The sequence below is a fragment of the Homo sapiens genome, chromosome 11 (genome assembly GCF_000001405.40).
Source record: "Homo sapiens chromosome 11, GRCh38.p14 Primary Assembly".
Lineage (NCBI taxonomy): Eukaryota > Metazoa > Chordata > Mammalia > Primates > Hominidae > Homo > Homo sapiens.
The window spans coordinates 57,823,101-57,841,027 of NC_000011.10; positions in this window are offsets into that span (position 1 = coordinate 57,823,101).

The window sequence follows — 17,927 nt, forward strand, 5'->3', positions numbered from 1 at the left end:
AATTGAAGGAGGATTTGTGAATTGGAAGATAAGAAATTATACAGAATGCACTCCAGATAGAGAATGGAAAATAGGCAAGAGGTTGAGACAACAATGGAATAAGATCTAATAAACATTATTTGGAACATCAGGAGATAGGAGGAGGCAATATTCAAAGAGAAATTTTTTAGGGTTGGATGAAAGGCACCAAACCTCAGACTTAGGGAGCCCAGTGAATCTCAAGCAAGATAAACCAACTTACCTAGTACATCAGGGTGAGATGCAGAAAACCAAAGAAAAGATTGTGGGCATCTGGAGAGAAAATACAGACTACCTGTAGAAAACCAGCCAGATGGTGACTTCTGTGTCAACAATGAAAGCCAGGAAACAGTGAAATTTATCTTCATCATGTTAAGAGAAAAAGGAACTTATTATGAAAGCTTACCTGAGGTGACACTTTTTAAAAAGCTACTAAAAACATTTTCCGACAAAAGCAGAGTTTCCACTTACAAAAGGATGTCCTTGAGGTGGAAGGAAAATGATCTCAGATGGAGAATCAGATGCAAGAAGGAACACTGAACGAAATTGCTAAAGCCTTCACTGTAAGAGGAGTGTGTAATTTATGGGAGAGAAATACAGACTAGAATTAAAATGCTGGACAACAATAGCATGTAAAGTTGAGGGAGCAATTACAACACTAATTTTCGGGTTCTTCAGGAGGAAAGTAAAGATACTGATAAGACTTGAAAAACTAAATAGATTGGTACAGAAGTAATTGCATTGAAATGGCAAAAACTGCAATGACTTTTGCACCAACCTAATACATATTAGCTGGAATAACCACTAAAGAATGAATATAGGACATATAACTTCCAAACAAGTAGAGAGGGAAGAAAGCAAAAGGAGTATGGGCAAGGTTAGTACTGGTGCTGCATCTGATGGAACAAGCTGAGCCTGCAGGGCAGTGGTGGTAGGTAGTGGTGAAGCCCCCACCTTTATATCACAGCACTGGGTATAGCGTGTGGCAAGTTAAGTAGATGTGTGCAGCAAAGAGCAGAGTGAAGAACAAGAATAGGGACAAAGGGAATAGCTCCAAGACAATTTCTATAAAAGCAAAGTTAAAAATTGGCTGGTAAGTGAGTTGGTCAGCCTGGCTTAAAGACACAGTCAGTACAAATGCTTTCATATTTTGCTGATGAAATTGCAAAGTCTTCTGTAATCCCAGCACTTTGGCAGGCCGAGGTGGGCGGATCACGAGGTCAGGAGATCGAGACCATCCTGGCTAATGCAGTGAAACCCCATCTCTACTAAAAATACAAAAAATTAGCTGGGCGTGGTGGTGGGCGCCTGTAGTCCCAGCTACTCGGGAGGCTGAGGCAGGAGAATGGCGTGAACCCGGGAGGCGGAAGTTGCAGTGAGCCGAGATCATGCCACTGCACTCCAGCGTGGGCGACAGAGCAAGACTCTGTCTCAAAAAAAAAAAAAAAAAAAATTGCAAAGTCTTACTTGTCTGAGTATCCTCCCCATATCCTAAAAGGGTTTGACCCAGAGTAGGGCTGGACTGAAGCTGGAGGCTACCCTTTGACATGAAGATGTTATCATTTTTAGGTACCACTGGCTTTAGAGTAGGAGAGGTCACAGGGAAGCATTGGGCTATTCAAGCTCATCTCTGGGTCATCATTTCCTGGGCACTAAGAAGGGCTTACTCAGGGGCATTGATTCAATTTTGAATTGGTAGTGCATTACAATGTCACACATTTGCAACAGACATTTCTCTGTCCCTTATGGTGCACTTAAAGCATATCTATACTAGTGAAACAAGCTTAGATTTATATATGGGATCAAGATGTACTATCTACTGTCTTATTCAAATGCCTTTTGCTTTAATCTTTTATTTATTATTTATCATTTTTATTTTTTGAGACGGAGTCTTGCTCTGTCACCCAGGCTGGAGTGCAGTGGTGCAATCTCTGCTCACTGCCACCTCTACCTCCTGGGTTCAAGCGATTCTCCTGCCTTAGCCTCCCGAGTAGCTGGGATTACAGTTGCCCGCCACCATGCCTCTCTAATTTTTGTATTTTAGTGGAGATGAGGTTTCACCATGTTGGCCAGGCTGGTCTCGAACTCCTGACCTCAGGTGATCTGCCCGCCTTGGCCTCCCAAAGTGCTAGGATTACAGGTGTGAGCCACTGTGCCCGGCTTTTTATTTCTTTTTATCGAGGTTAGTGACTCTGAAATCTAGCTCAGATTTTTGAGATGATTTAGAATGATCATTTATATTAAACTACTCAGCACAAAATTCAGGCTCTGGAACCAAATTGTCTGAGTTCAAGTCCTTGCTGTGCTACTTTAGCTGTGTGACCTTGAGCAAATTTCTAAAGCATTTGGTACCCTTCATCATGGGAAGAATAATATCTACATATTATGAAGATGTAATGAGATAATGAATGTAATTGGACTTAAAACAGTACCTGGCACATAGTGTATTATTACTATTGTATTTGTCACCAGGTGCTTTTACATATATATGCATATAATTAGCTATGCGATTGCTCAGTTATTATGTCCAACTACTTCAGGGATGATTTCAAGGGGAACTCAAAGTGACAAGCAAGTGGTATACATGTCCACACCCTAGATTAGGAAAAGATAGCCTTAGTCTTTTGGTGGGTACTTAGACCTCTTTTGTCCAGGCTCTGTTGTAGGTGCTTAAGTGTTAGGACCTTTAGGAATGATTCTTGCAAAAGTGAATGTTAAAGGCTTAGAGATTACTATGGCACGCCCACATGGAAGCATCTGTTTATTCTGGTAGTGCTTGTGACAACACATAGACTTCTCAGAACCAAGATGAGAAAAGACATCCTCACAAGATATCAAGGTTTTTCTGTGTGTCTGAAACCTCAAGAGATAAAGGAGTAATCTTTGGGCATGAGAACCCATGAGAGATATGAAGGGATTTAATTGAATGAAAGAATGAATAAAAAGCTACATACATTTATTAAGTATTTTGTTGTATGTTAGGCCCTATACTGGTGATAGACAGACATGTAGTGAGCACATGTCCTCAAGGAACATTTGGTAAATTACTCCAAGGGCAAAGGGTTTCAAGCAGTGAAGTCCTTAGATCACTAGCTATAGAGAAGAGTATGGAGAAGAAAAGACTGGATGATCAGAGGAAGCTGCAAGATTCTAGGCAAGGGATAATGGTGGCTTAGACTAGGTCATATAGTATAGAAAGAAAAGAATATTTCCAGTTCAGTAATGTTAACAGGTAATATTTAGCGCTGTGTGAAACTTTCTAAGTACTTTGAATATATTGACATTTAATCACACGAACCCTATACGTAGGGGAATGACATGAACATATATAATAGTAGCAAATATTTTGGGGCTAACCTTCGTGCTAGGCTTCACATGCTCTGTCACCCAGGCTGGAGTGCAGAGACTGTGATCTTGGCTCACAGCAACTTCCACCTCCCAGATTCAAACAGTTCCTGCCTCAGCCTCCCAAGTAGCTGGGATTACAGGCATGTACCACCACATCTGCTTAATTTTTCTATTTTTAGTAGAAATGGGGTTTTACCATGTTGGCCAGGCTGGTCTTGAACTCCTGACTTCAGGTGATCTGCCTCCCTCGGCCTCCCAAAGTGCTGGGATTACAGGCATTAGCCACCACACCCAGCCATATATGCATTATTCTTGTTTAATATTTTCCACAACTCTGTGATTCTCCCCATCTTATAGCAGTTAAGTAACTTGCCTTAGGTTACACTCAGTGACAAAGGTTAAACATTTTTTTGTTTTTGATCAGATTTGTTTGATTAGAAATGCTGTGGGTTTTTCTTTTACTACTAACATAAATTGCTTCAGAAGGTAGAATTGGTAGAACATAGGGTGAGGAGAAGAGTTGAGAAGAACATAGGGTGAGGAGAAGAGTTGCCTGGGCAACATGGTGAAACCCTCTCTCTACTAAAAATACAAAAAATTAGCTGGGTGTGGTGTCATGGGGCTTCTGGTCCCAGCTACTTGGGAGGCTGAGGTGGGAGGATGGCTTAAGCCTGGGAGGCAGAGGTTAGAGTGAGCCAAGGTCATGCCACTACACTCCAGCCTGGGTAACAGAGTGAGACCCCATCTAAAAAAAGTAAAACAAAAAAGGAATGATTTTCTGATATCTGGGTGATATCAGCCACTGATTGAGACAGGAAACAGTGGCAAGTAGAAGGATATGTTGGAAGAGAAAAATTTAGTTACAAGTAAAGTTCGAAGTGATTGAGGAACACTGAAGTGGAAGTATCCAATAGGCAGCTGGATATGTGACACTAGGGCTCAAAAGAGGCCTGGATTCTGAATACAGATTTGACGGTCTACTTTAAGCAATGTACTTTAAGCTATAAGAGTATATGAGATGGCCCAGGGAGTGTAAGTATGAGAAGAGTGGAGAGTTTAGATCTGAACCCTGTTGGTACATAAATATTTAAGAAGGGAAAGGAGACCCTGAAAGACTAGGGAACTAGTCTGATTTAGGAGAATATTTTTGTTTGTTTTTAAATTTTCTTTTTTTTCTTTCTTTTTTTTATTTTTTGAGAGAGAGTCTCACTCTGTTGCCCAGGCTGGAGTGCAGTGGCGCGATCTCAACTCACTGCAACCTCCTCCTGGGTTCAAACAATTCTCCTGCCTTGGCCTCCCAAGTAGCTGGGATTACAAGTGCGTGCCAACAAACCTGGCTAATTTTTGTATTTTTAGTAGAGACGGGGTTTCGCCATGTTGGCCAGGCTGGTCTTGAATTCCTGGCCTCAGGTGATCCGCCCACTGTGGCCTCCCAAAGTGAGGCTTGAACCACCACACCCAGCCTGTTTGTTTTTTTTAAGAAGCCAATGCTGCTTCCCATTGCAAAGTAACTAACAAAAAAGTAGGGTTTGCTTTGATCTGTTTCATCGTTGGAGGATATTTAATTTTTCTTCCAATCTTCCTACAATATTTGGATCTTTGGGGTCTGGAACCCTAGAGAGCATGGATTCAGTCTTCCATTTAATTCTCCTTCCCTCTGGTATAAAACCAGGATTCAGAATCCAGAAAGGCCACCTTACCGATTGGGCAAAATGGGCAATAGTTCCAGTTCTTCCCACCATCAGGCCTGTGTCTGACTGTCCTGCCTCATCCTGTTCTCCCTACTCCTCTCTTGCTTGTCCCTTGATCCCTCTCTTTCTTTGCTTTCCTCTTCATTTATTTCCACTAGTTCTCTAGTTGCTTCCACTCCAGACCTCTACGACCAGGCAGCCTATCAAGAATTACAAATCTGGTTTTATTTCTCCTGCTCAAAAGTTTGTCCCTCAAAGAGTGGTTAGCATAGCCAATAGGGCACAGCCATATTCCACCCTGTGACTTATAGGAGGAAGCTACTTCATGTGAGGTGGTCCCCCTTGGTGAGTCCTTCCTGCAGAGCAGAGATTGCCAGCTTACTTAGGGTAGTCCTGAGTCCTGGAGGACTGACAGGACTGACTAAGAACCCATATACTCCTTTACTCTGTCTGCTTTTGTCCCTTACTCTGATTCCAACAGACTCATTGCCACATAAACCCAGGCTTTCAGGGGTCAGATGGGACCAGTGCGGGCTGGGGATTTCTCCTTATTGAGCAGCTCTCTACCTATAAGGCCAGTAAAATACCAAGTACAGAGCATAGTAGGTGCTGAACATAGGCGTACATAGTAACCACTAGTGATAGTTGAGATAATGAATGAGTGTCCTTTGCTGGCAGAGCCCATCACCAGCCAGGAGTCTCCACCTCCAGCAACAGTGGAGTGGACCTTCAGCACACACCCCAACCCCACCTTGCCTCACCCTGACCCCATTCTGCCTCATAGATCGATTATTTTTAATATTTTGGTTTAAATTAAAAGACCCTATATGACTTTTTAAAATAACATGATTTAACACGGCAGATTACGGAATTAAAATTCTTGCCTCTCTTTTATGTCACTCCCCAGGAATAACTACTCTTAACCATTTGTTACATATCCTTTCAGATATCTTTCTCCAAGTGCTTATTCAACAAAGACTTCTTTTTTATTTTTTATTTTGAGACAGAGTCTCGCTCTGTCGCCCAGGCTGATTTCCGCTCACTACAACTTCTGCCTCCCAGGTTCAAGTGATTTTCCTGCCTCAGCCTCCCAAGTAGCTGGGATTACAGGTGTGGGCCACCATGCCCGGCTAATGTTTGTTTTTAGTAGAGATGGGGTTTCTCCATGTTGGCCAGACTGGTCTCGAACTCCTGACCTCAAGTGATCCACCTGCCTCAGCCTCCCAAAATGTTGGGATTACAGGTGTGAGCCACCATGCCCAGCCACAAACATTTATTTCTAATGGAATGTATGATGTACATATTCTGCAATTTTGTTTTTTTCCCATAAAGCATGTCATGGACATCTTTCTACCATAGTGCATATTAGTCTTCCTTGTTTTCCTCGTGATTGCCTATTTTACCATTATAAGTCTGTGCCATTTTAGACCTGGTATCTTCCTGCTTCTGGGCAATCTTTTTGTGGCCAACATGGAAGTCTATAGCCCACTTAGGAGACATTTTTCCCAGTATGGAACCTCAGTCCAGAGCCCATGATCCTGTGGTTAGGATGAGCAGACAGTATGGCCGCTTTGCCCCCTCTCTGGACAATTCAGCCTTATCAGCCTCCAACTCACTTCCCCAGAGGATTTGGAAATATGCTTCCTACTGCTCTGTGCCCCTGGGCAGAGATGCTAAGTATCCTGTCCACCCCTTCCTTCGGAACATAACACAGAGGATTTTTGGCTTTTTAAACCTGCATCTTATCTGAAGGTAGGGATTGCTCTGCCTGCCATCCCAAAGCCTACAGTCCTGACACTGTGAAATGAGTGCAGAGGAAGGAGGTGGAATGCAGTTGGCTTTGAGTCCTAGCCAGCCGTTTGAAGGCTACAGCCTGCTTCTAACTTGTTTCTGATGGAATTCCCAGGAATGACCCTGGCTCAACCTGATTCTCATCATGTCTTCTCTGTACTTTGGAGAAATCAGGTCCCAAACTCTCCTTTCTGGGCCTCTCTAATGTCTGACTGTGGACATTCAGTATCTCAGCTCTGACTTCGCCTTTACTTCCTGTAGAGTGTCTTGAATTCTGGTAACTCATATTCTTGTGATGGTACCTCATTGCCAGTTGCTTTGTAACCTGCATTCCATAGTGTTGCTTACATGAAACTGACTTAAAAAGTGAAACCCTGACCCCATCAGTACTGTCACTCATCACTTAATCACAAGGATATGTTCTAAGAAATGCATCGTTAGGCAATTTCATTGTTGTGGGAACATCATAGAGTGTCCTTATGCAAATCTAGATGGTACCATTTACTACACTCCTGGGCTATGTGGTATAGCCCACTACTCCTAGGCTACAAACCTGTACAGCATGTGTGTACCATTATTATAGTAATAATGAATACTGTAGGCAATTGTAATATGGTAAGTATTTGCACGTCTAAACATAGAATGTTTACCTGCATAGGGTACTTACGTGAATGAAGCTTGAGAACTGAAAATTGCTCTGGGTGAGTCAGTGAGTGAGTGGTGAGTGGATGTGAAGGCGTAGGACATTACTGTACGCTTGGGCTACACTAAATTTATAAACCATTTTTCTTCAGTAATAAATTAGCCTTAGCTTACTATAGCTTTTCTTCACAAACTTTAAAAATTTAAAAAAAAACTTTTGACTCTTTTGTAATAACAGCTTAAGACAAACACATTGTACAGCTGTACAAAAATATTTTCTTCTTCCATATCCTTATTCTATAGCTATTTTCTATTTAAATTTTGTTATTTTACTTTAAAAATTTTTTTTTTTTGGTTAAAAACTAAGACATAATTCCAGCACTTTGGGAGGCCAAGGTGGCAGGATAGCTTGAGATCAGGAGTTCAAGACAAGGTTGGGAAACATAGCAAACCCTGTCTCTACAAAAAAAATGAAAAAATTAGCTGGGAGCAATGATGCACTCCTGTAGTCCTAGCTTCTTGGGAGGCTGAGGCAGGAGGGTCCCCTGAGCCCAGGAGTTCCAGGTTACAGTGAGCCACTGCACTCCAGCCTGGATGACAGAATAAGACCCTGTCTCTCAAAATGAATCAATCACACAAAGAAGCCAAAAACTAAGACACACACACACACGTGTTAGCTTAGGCTTACATGGGGTCAGGATCATCACTGTCTTTCACCTCCATATTGTGTCTTACTAGGTCTTCAGGGGCAATAACGTGCATGGAGCTATCATCTATGGCAATAATGCTTTCTTCTGGAAGATCTGCTGAAGAGACCTGCCTGGGGCTATTTTACAGTTAACCTTTTTTTATTTTTGAAACAGTGTCTTGCTGTCTCGCCCAGGCTGGAGTGCAATGGCACGATTTTGGCTCACCGCAGCCTTGAACTCCTCAGGCTCAGGCGATCCTCTCATCTCAGCCTCCTAAGTAGCTGGACTACAGGTGCATGCCACCATGCCAGGCTAAGTTTTGTATTTTTTTTGGAGAGACGGGGTCTCACCATGTTGCCCAGGCTCAGGCTGGTCTTGAACTCCTGGGCTCAAGCAATCCTCCTGCCTTGGCCTCCCAAAATGCTGGCATTTCAAGCGTGAGCCACCCTGCCTGGCATAGTTAACTTTTTTTAATAAGTAGGAGGAATATACTCAAAATAATAAAATATAGTAAATACATAAACCAATAACATAATCATTCATTATTATCAAGTATTATGTACTGTACATAATTGTATGTGCTATACTTTTATATGGCTGACAGTGCCGTAGGTTTGTTTACACCAGTATCACCACAAATACATGAGTAATGCATTGTGTTATGATACTACAACCGTTATGATGCCACTAGTGATGGGAAACTACTTCATACAGATGCTAGGGCCTAAGGCTATTCCTGTCTTTGAGGAGCTCTGATCCCAGGGATGAAGGCAGTAAATTCATTAATGAGGTAAGCATTACTATAATGATTTCTTTTTAACATTTAGAAGATGGTTGACTTCTGCCAGGAAGGAGGGCAAGGCTTCACTGAGGTGACATTTTGGTTCGTTTGAAAGGATAATTAGGATTCCATCAGTTGGAGAAGGTGTGAAGTCATTCAAGTCAGATAGAATAATGTGCAAAAGTACAGAGGTATAAAAAGAATGCTGTTCATTAGGTGTCCACATAGGCAAGAGGAAGTTTCTCTTTATAGAAACATTTCATCTCATAATTGAAGGTGTGATTGAAATATAATATTATCATTTTGCAATCCCTAATAAAGGGATCTTAGGCATTGAGCATCAACAGCTGCTAACATCACAAAAAGAGATCTGTATCACCTATGAAGTAGTTTAAAAAAATATCAAGCCTGAGTCTGATCAAACTTGTAGATCCAAATACTATTTTATAGGAAACACAGAAGATGGGGGCAATGTTTAACTATACCATAAGGATGTAACTAGCAACATGGGAGGAATTACAAATGACCCAATTTCTTTAATAAATTAATTGCAAGAAGAAAAAAAGTGGAGACAGACCTATAGATTAAAAAATATCAGTCTCAATGCATGCGTCTTATTTGGATTCTAACATAAAGAGGACATTTTATGAGACAATTGGAAATTCGAATACTGGATATTTGATGTTACTCAGGGATTATTATTTTTAGATATGACAGTGGTATCATGGGTTATGATTAATTCATTGTAAATTCGAGCAATGTACTGAAATTTTAATGGATAAAATGTTATGATGAGGAAATTTGCTTCTAAGTAGTATGGGAGAAGAGTAGATGAGGCTATAAGTGACACAATTGGCTATGGGTAATTCAAGCTGGGGTATGGGTACACCAAGTTTCATTATAGTATTTTGTTTGATTTTTCTGTATATTATTTAAAATTTAAAATTAGAATTCCCTGTAATAAGTTTTTTAAAAATGGTATATTTGGGATCTAGTAGCTCCATGTGGCTGAGGCACAGGGACATACAGGGCAGCAGGATATGGGACTATGAAGGGAGTTAGGGTCTCAGGGGTGGTGCTTGGGCTATAAAGTTCTTTTCATGCAGGCAAATGAGTTTCACACCACCCTGGAGACCTAGCGTTCTGAGGTGGAGCCTCTGGAGCAAGGATGGGGGACAGGAGCTGAACAGAGGGGATACTAGGATATTTTAACAAGAACAGCTTTGCTTCTAACTTTTATTAAATTGGGCTTCCAGGTAATATTTTGTTTAAAAACGGGATTCTGAGGCTTCAAAAAATTTCTCTGTAGCCATTGAGAGAACAGTTGAATATTTTAAAGACCGTCACTTGAGCCATAGTGCAGAAGATTGGAGGTAGGGAAATCAGCTGGGAGGCTATTTTAATATAGCTGGGAGGCAAATGAATAAAGCATTTGTTTTGAGAGGAATTTAGCCAGTGAAGATTTGGTCCCAGGAGGTAAACCTTTTAAGACAATATTTGTAATTATTATTTCCCAGGCCATACTCCTAGGGAAGACAACAAAGAGGGTGTGGAAATATGCTTACTCCTTGTAACAAGAAAGCCAGTCCTTCTTAGCACCCACTGGGGAATAGGCTGGAACCCTGCTCCTTTCTCTTCTATCTGGCTCTTGACAGAGCACACGGAGAACTATGTCTCCCTTACAACTGTCTCAGCATCTTCTTTGATCAGAGTCTCCAGTCTGTCCTCCTGTGCACCATAACTGATAATTTGGTGAGGTAGGGAGTGATGCCAGCTGTTTGGGTTTACAGTGACCACTTCTATTATTGTTGCTCCGTTTCAACTATAGCTGCTTTCAGTATGCACCACCACATCTACTTGACCGTACTCTACCTTCTTATAGCAGCTTAAACTCCAGAGTGTAAGACCCCAACAACTAGCCATCTCTTCTTCCCTTTTCTGTGAAATCTTAGAGTCTGTCTGACTAGGCAAATCCACTGACTTTCCCTCCTAGTAATCTCCCTCAAATGTAATGTCTCACTGAGCCCTGCGCCTTTAAAACACACGGACACATACTCATGCATCAAGCTGCTAACAGCTAATAAAAATGAACTATTAACATTCCAGACTCTGCTAGGTGCCTGTAATCCTAACACTTTGGGAAGCTGAGGTGGGAGGATCGCTTGAGCCCAGGAGTTTGAGACCAGCCTGGGCAACACAGTGAGGCCCCATCTCTACAAAAAACCCAAAAATTAGCCGGGTGTGGGATCACGTGCCTGTAGTCCCAGCTACTCAGGAGGCTGAGGGAGAAGGATCATTTGAACATGGAAGGTTGAGGCTGCAGTGAGCTATGATCATGCCACTGCACTCCAGCCTGGGTGACAAAGTGAGACCTTGTCTAAAAATAAAAATAACATTTAGATCTTGTCTAAAAATAAAAAACATTCCAGACTTGGTGAAAATCATTTAGGTACATCTTTATGTGTCTCTATCCCTCTGGCTTTCAGTCTACAATGTCCTGGTGGGCGGGACGCATGTTTCTTAACCTTGCCTTTGCCCCTCTGACTTGATGCTTGAGTGAAGCCTCTTTAGTTCTTACTTTTTGTGCTCATTAAGATCTTAGCCTTCTTGAATTATGGAACTCCTTGAGAATCTGATGATTGTTACGGACCTGCTCCAGAGAAATGCACACACATAGTATTTTGCCTACAATTTGAGAGTCTCTTGAATTTTAAAGCCGTTGCAATTTAAATGCATCAGGAAGACTTGACAGCAGAGAGTTTCTTGATAAAAATGCAGTATTCCTTTATTGCTGCTTGTTTGGTTGGTTTAAAAATATGCGATATTTCTTGTCCTACCCTAGCATTTCTGGTGCCAGTATCACCAATTTAAACAATCTCCCTGGTAATTCTAAAGTTCACTAAGATTTGAGAAGTTCTGCCCTAAAGACTCAGCTTGTCTTCATAGTCTATCTCATCTTCTGCTCCCAGCCACTTAACTCCTGCTACAGGGGTTCAAACTCTGGAGTCCTGGTTGTTATCTAAAGGGAACAACTGCCTTCCTGTAGGGCTAAAGTGAAGCCCCTTCATGGAGAAGCACTAGAGTCTGACAGTGGGCCCAGGTCTTCTTCATTTTCAGGTATAGTTCTGAATTCAGAAAGCCAAGTCATGTCCCAGAGAGCTGCACTTCTCTCCTTCTTTCTGTCCATCTCTCATCAATTATTTCTGTACTCACCTTCCCCCACTTCAGACTGGAACTTTCCCTCTTCTGGAGTTGTTGCTTTCCACCATACAAGATGTCTTGTGCTTCTGCATGTTGGCATCCAGGTGTATTATTATTCCTGTGTGGTAGCCAGCGGTGCAGACTTAGAATGCCTTGTAAGTGCCTCTAAGTAGGATATAGTAAAAAGGTTTGCAGAGTTAAGCTTACATCCCAGCAGGTCCAGGTACTTCTTTGAGGTACAAAACTGATGACAGGGCTGGGCGCAGTGGCTCACGCCTACAATTCCAGCACTTTGGGAGGCCGAGGTGAGCAGATTACTTGAAGTTAGGAGTTTGAGACCAGCCTGGCCAACATGGTGAAATCCCATCTTTACTAAAAATACAAAAATTAGCTGGGTGTGGTGGTGCATGCTTGTATTTCCAGCTACTTGGGAGGCTGAGGCAGAAGAATGGCTCAGGAGGTGGAGGTTGCAGTGAGCCAAGATTGTGTCACTGCACTCCAACTTGAGTGACAGAGTGAGTGAGACTCTGTCTCAAAAACAAACAAACAAACAAACTGATGACAGAGCAGAGAAGGTCGTATTGAGTAACTTAATTTATTATTTTTACTAGCTATAAACAATTTAAAAAATGTAATAATTGAAAATAATTTAGAAAGTTCAGAAGGGGCCAGGCACAGTGGGTCATGTCTGTTATCTCAGCACTTTGGGAGGCTGAGGTGGGAGGATTACTTGAGCCTAGGAGTTCAAGACCAGCCTGGGCAACATAGTGAGATCCCTGTCTCTACAGAAAAATAAATTAGTCAGGTGTGGTGGCATGTACCTGTACTCCCAGCTACTTGGCAGACTGAGGCAGGAGGATCCCTTGAACCCAGGAGGTTGAACCTGCTGCATAGCTAGGGTGACAGAGTGAGACCCCATCTTTAAATAAATAAATAAGAAAGTACAGCAAATGTTTTTTTTTTTTTTTAAGTGGAGGCTAAGTCAATTATAATCCTAGTTTTTTAAGTAGAGGCTAAGTCAATTATAATCCTAGTTCCTGCCATCCAGAGGCAACCATTATTAACATTCTGGCATCCTTCCATCTAGTGTTTTTCTATTTTTTAAAAAATAGAAATTATACAATATATACAACACAGTTACCTGCTTTTCTTTGCCTAACCTTGTTTTATAACATTTCCCAATTAATGCTTCAAAATCGTATTTTCTTTTCATGGCTGCATGATATTTAATTAAATAAATATACCATTATGTAACTTTTGCTCAATTGTTGGATACTTAAGTGTAATACCTATGTATAGTATTATAAATATGCTGTAATAAACATCTTAGTACCTAAACTTTTTCTTCTGGATTTTTTCCTTAGAAGAGGAATTGCTGGGTTAGAAATTATGAACATTTTTAAGACTCTTGATATACAGTACTAAATTATTTTCCAGAAAGATTAGAGTATGTAGCCTTTTCAGATTGGGTTCTTTTACTTAGAAATAGCATTTAAGGCTCTTTCCTGTCATGTTATGGTTTGATAGCTCATTTCTTCTTATTGCTCAATAATATTCCATTGTATGGCTGTACCATAGTTTATCCATTTACCTGGATAAACAAATCCAAAAACATCTTGGGTACTTCTAAATTTTAGCAATTATGAATAAAGCTGCTGTAAACATTCACGTGCAGGTTTTTGTGAGGATGTAAGTTTTCAATTAATTTGAGTAAATACCAAGGAGCATGATATGGTATGGATTTGTGTTCCCACCCAAATCTCATGTCGAATTGTAATCCCCAGTGTTGGAGGAGGGGCTTGGTGGATGGTGATTGGCTCATGGGGGTAGAGTTCCCCCTTGCTGTTCTCATGAAAATGAGTGAGTTCTCATGAGATCTCATTGTTTAAAAATGTGTAGCACCTCTTCCTTCACTGTCTTCCTTCTGCTCCAGCCATGTAACATGTGCCAGCTTCCCCTTTGCCTTCCTCCATGATTCTAAGTTGCCCGAGGCCTCCCAGAAGCAGAAACCTGTACAGCCTGCAGAACCATGAGACAATTAAACCTCTTTTCTTTATAAACTACCCAGTTTCAGGTATTTCTTTATAGCAGTGTGAGAACAGACTAGTACAGAGCACAATTCCTGAATCATATGGTCAGCCTGTGCTTAGCTTTGTAAACTGAAATTGCCTTTTCCTCCAGCAGTGAGGAAGAGTTCCTGCCGTTTCCCATCCTCTCCAGCACTTGGTGTAAATGTTTGTGTTTTGGATTTCAGTCGTTCTAATAGGTATGTAGTGGTATCTCGTTCTTGTTGTTTTCTCTCTCATCATTGCCTTGATTTGCAGTCTCCTAATTATGCATGGTGCTGAGCATCTTTTCATCTGCATATCTATCATCTTTATATCTTCTTTGTAAAGTTTTCAGATCTTTTGCCCTTTTTAAATTTTTTTAAATTAAGTTTTTAGAGTTCATATATTTTGGATACCAATCCTTTATCAGATAAGTGGAATTTTTTTTTTTTTTTTTTTTTTTTTAAACAGAGTCTCGCTCTGTTGCCCAGGCTGGAGTGCAGTGGCGTGATCTCGGCTCACTGCAACCTCCGCCTCCTAGGTTCCAGCGATTCTCATGCCTCAGCCTCCTGAGTAGCTGGGATTACAGGTATGTGCCACCATGACTGGCTAACTTGTATTTGTAGTAGAGATGGGATTTCACCATGTTGTCCAGGCTGGTCTCAAACTCCTGACCTCAGGTGATTTGCCCGCGTGGACCTCCCAAAGTGCTGGGATTAGAGGCGTGAGCCAATGCGGCCGGCTGTTTTCCAGACAGGGTCTCACTCTGTCAACCAGTCTGGAGTGCAGCCTTGACCTCCTGGACTTAAGGGATCCTCTCGTCTCAGCCTCCTGAGTAGCTGGGACTATAGTCTCACTATGTTGCCCAGGCTAGTCTTGAATTCCTGGGCTTGAGCGATCATGCTGCCTCAGCTTCTCAAAGTGCTAGGATTCCATGTCTTTGCTATTGTGAATAGTGCTGAGATGAACATACATGTGCATGTGTCTTTATGATAGAATGATTTTTATTCCTTTGGGTATGTACCCAGTAACGGGATTGCTGGATTGAATGGTAGTTTTTTATTTTATTTTATTTTATTATTATTATACTTTAAGTTTTAGGGTACATGTGCACAATGTGCAGGTTTGTTACATATGTATACTGTGCTGCACCCATTAACTCGTCATTTAGCATTAGGTATATCTCCTAATGCTATGCCTCCCCCATACCCCCACCACACAACAGTCCCGGGTGTGTGATGTTCCCCTTCCTGTGTCCATGTGTTCTCATTGTTCAATTCCCACCTATGAGTGAGAACATGTGGTGTTTGGTTTTTTGACCTTGCGATACTTTGCTGAGAATGATGGTTTCCAGCTTCATCCATGTCCCTACAAAGGACATGAACTCATCATTTTTTATGGCTGCATAGTATTCCATGGTGTATATGTGCCACATTTTCTTAATCCAGTCTATCATTGTTGGACATTTGGGTTGGTTCCAAGTCTTTGCTATTGTGAATAGTGCCGCAATCAATCTAGATGCCCATCAACAGTGGACTTGAAAAAGAAAATGTGGTACATATACACTGTGGAATACTACACAGCCATAAAAAAGAACAAAATCATGTCTTTTGCGACAACATGGCTGGAGCTAGAGGCCATTATCCTGAGAGAATTAATGCAGGAACAGAAAACCAAATACTGCATGTCCTTACTTACAAGTGGAAGCCAAACACTGAGTACATGTGGACACAAAGAAGGGAACAATAGACACCAGAGCCTACTTGAGGGTGGAGAGTGAGAGGAGGGTGAGGACTGAAAAACTACCTATTGGGTACTATGCTGATTAAATGGGTGACAAGATTATTTATATACCAAACCCCTGCAACACACAATTTACCCATGCAACAAACCTGCACATGTATCCCCTAAACCTAAAATAAAAGTTGGAAAGGGAAAAATGTCAATAAATAAATAAACTCAATGTTCATTTAGAAAAAACAAAACAAAACAAAAAAACAAACACAAAGTGCTAGGATTATGGGCATGAGCCACAGCACCTGGCCCATCAGATAAGTGTTCTACAAATATTTTCTTTCGGTCTGTGGCTTGTATTTTCATTTTTGTAACTTACAAACTTCTAAATGATTGAGTAAATCAAGAAGGAAAAGATAGAGTACACAGGCATTAAAAGTTACCTACATAAACAAAATAAGATATTCAAAAAATGGCAAAATATTTTCAGCAGATATGACAAATCATTAAATGTGTTCATTATATGAAAAGCTGATATATACATATACGTATGTCATATATATACATATATGTAGCCAGAAGACTTGAACAGATAATTAATAAAAGTGGTTATATAACAAATAAATATGTGGAAAATTGTTTACTCTTGCTAGTAATAAAATAAGTGCAAATAAAACAATAAAGTATTTCCACTTTTTGGGCTTATCAAGTTAGCCAAAAAATTTTCAATGCTATTGTCTAATAATGTGTTGGAAAAGCTACTTATACATGGCTGAGAGGAGTCTAAATTGGCAAAGCAATTCGCTGATACAGGAGGTCTTTTAAATTATTTTTATTTATTTTTTAAATTTTTTGAGAAAGGGTCTCGCTGTGTCACCCAGGCTGGAGAGCAGTGGTGCAATCGTGTCTCACTGCCGCCTCAACCTCATGGGCCCAAGCAATCTTTCTGCTTCAGTCTTCTGAGTATCTGAGACCACAGGTGGGAGCCACCATGCCCAGCTAATTTTTTTAATTTTTATATTTTGTAGAAACAGGTCTCACTATGTTGCCCAGGCTGGTCTTGAACTCCTCGGCTCAAGTGAACCTTCCACCTCTGCCTCCCAAAGTTCTGGGATCACAGGCATGAACCACTGTGCCCAGCCAAGGTCTTTAAAAATGTCAATGAATGAAGCATAGTTGTTAAGAATGCAAAGTTTGGAGTCATGAAAACTTTATTATAGGCCAGGCACAGTGGCTTACGCCTGTAATCCCAACACTTTGGGAGGTCAAGGAGGGCGGATCACTTGAGGTCAGGAGTTTGAACCAGCCTGGCCAACATGGTGAAACCTCATCTCTACTAAAAATACAAAAATTAGCTGGGCATGGTGGCACATACCTATAATCCCAGCTACTGGGGAGGCTGAGGCATGAGAATCACTTGAACCCGGGTGGCAGAGGTTGCAGTGAGCCAAGATCACACCAGTGCACTCCAGCCTGGGCGACAGAGTGAAACCTTGTCTCAGAAAAAAAAAAAAAAAAAAAAAAAGAAAACTTGATTATAAATTCTGACTCTATTTTTATCCATAATATAGGGATAATAATGCTGCCTATCTCATAAGGTTATTGTCTGGTTTAAATGAGAGAAAGCCTGTAAAGCACTTGTAAGAGTAATGGACACATGGTGGCAGAGCTGAATTTCCAACACAGTTCTTCCTGATATCAGTGCTTTTCTTTGCTATTTAGTCTTTTTTTTTTAATGAATAGGAAATTCAAACAACGTAGAAGTAAATAAAGCATCAAAGCCTTCCCTTTCCCTCTGCATCTCCACTTCCATTTTCATTTTTCACAGAAAAATATTTGCTGTTAAGAGTTTTATTCAAAACCCCTCCTATATATTTATAGGCATAAAAAGATACTTTTACATGCACAGTTCCCTTCTTCCCTTTCTCTCTTCTTTCTTTCCTCATTCCCTCCCTTTCTTCCTTCGTCCCTGCCTCCATCCCTT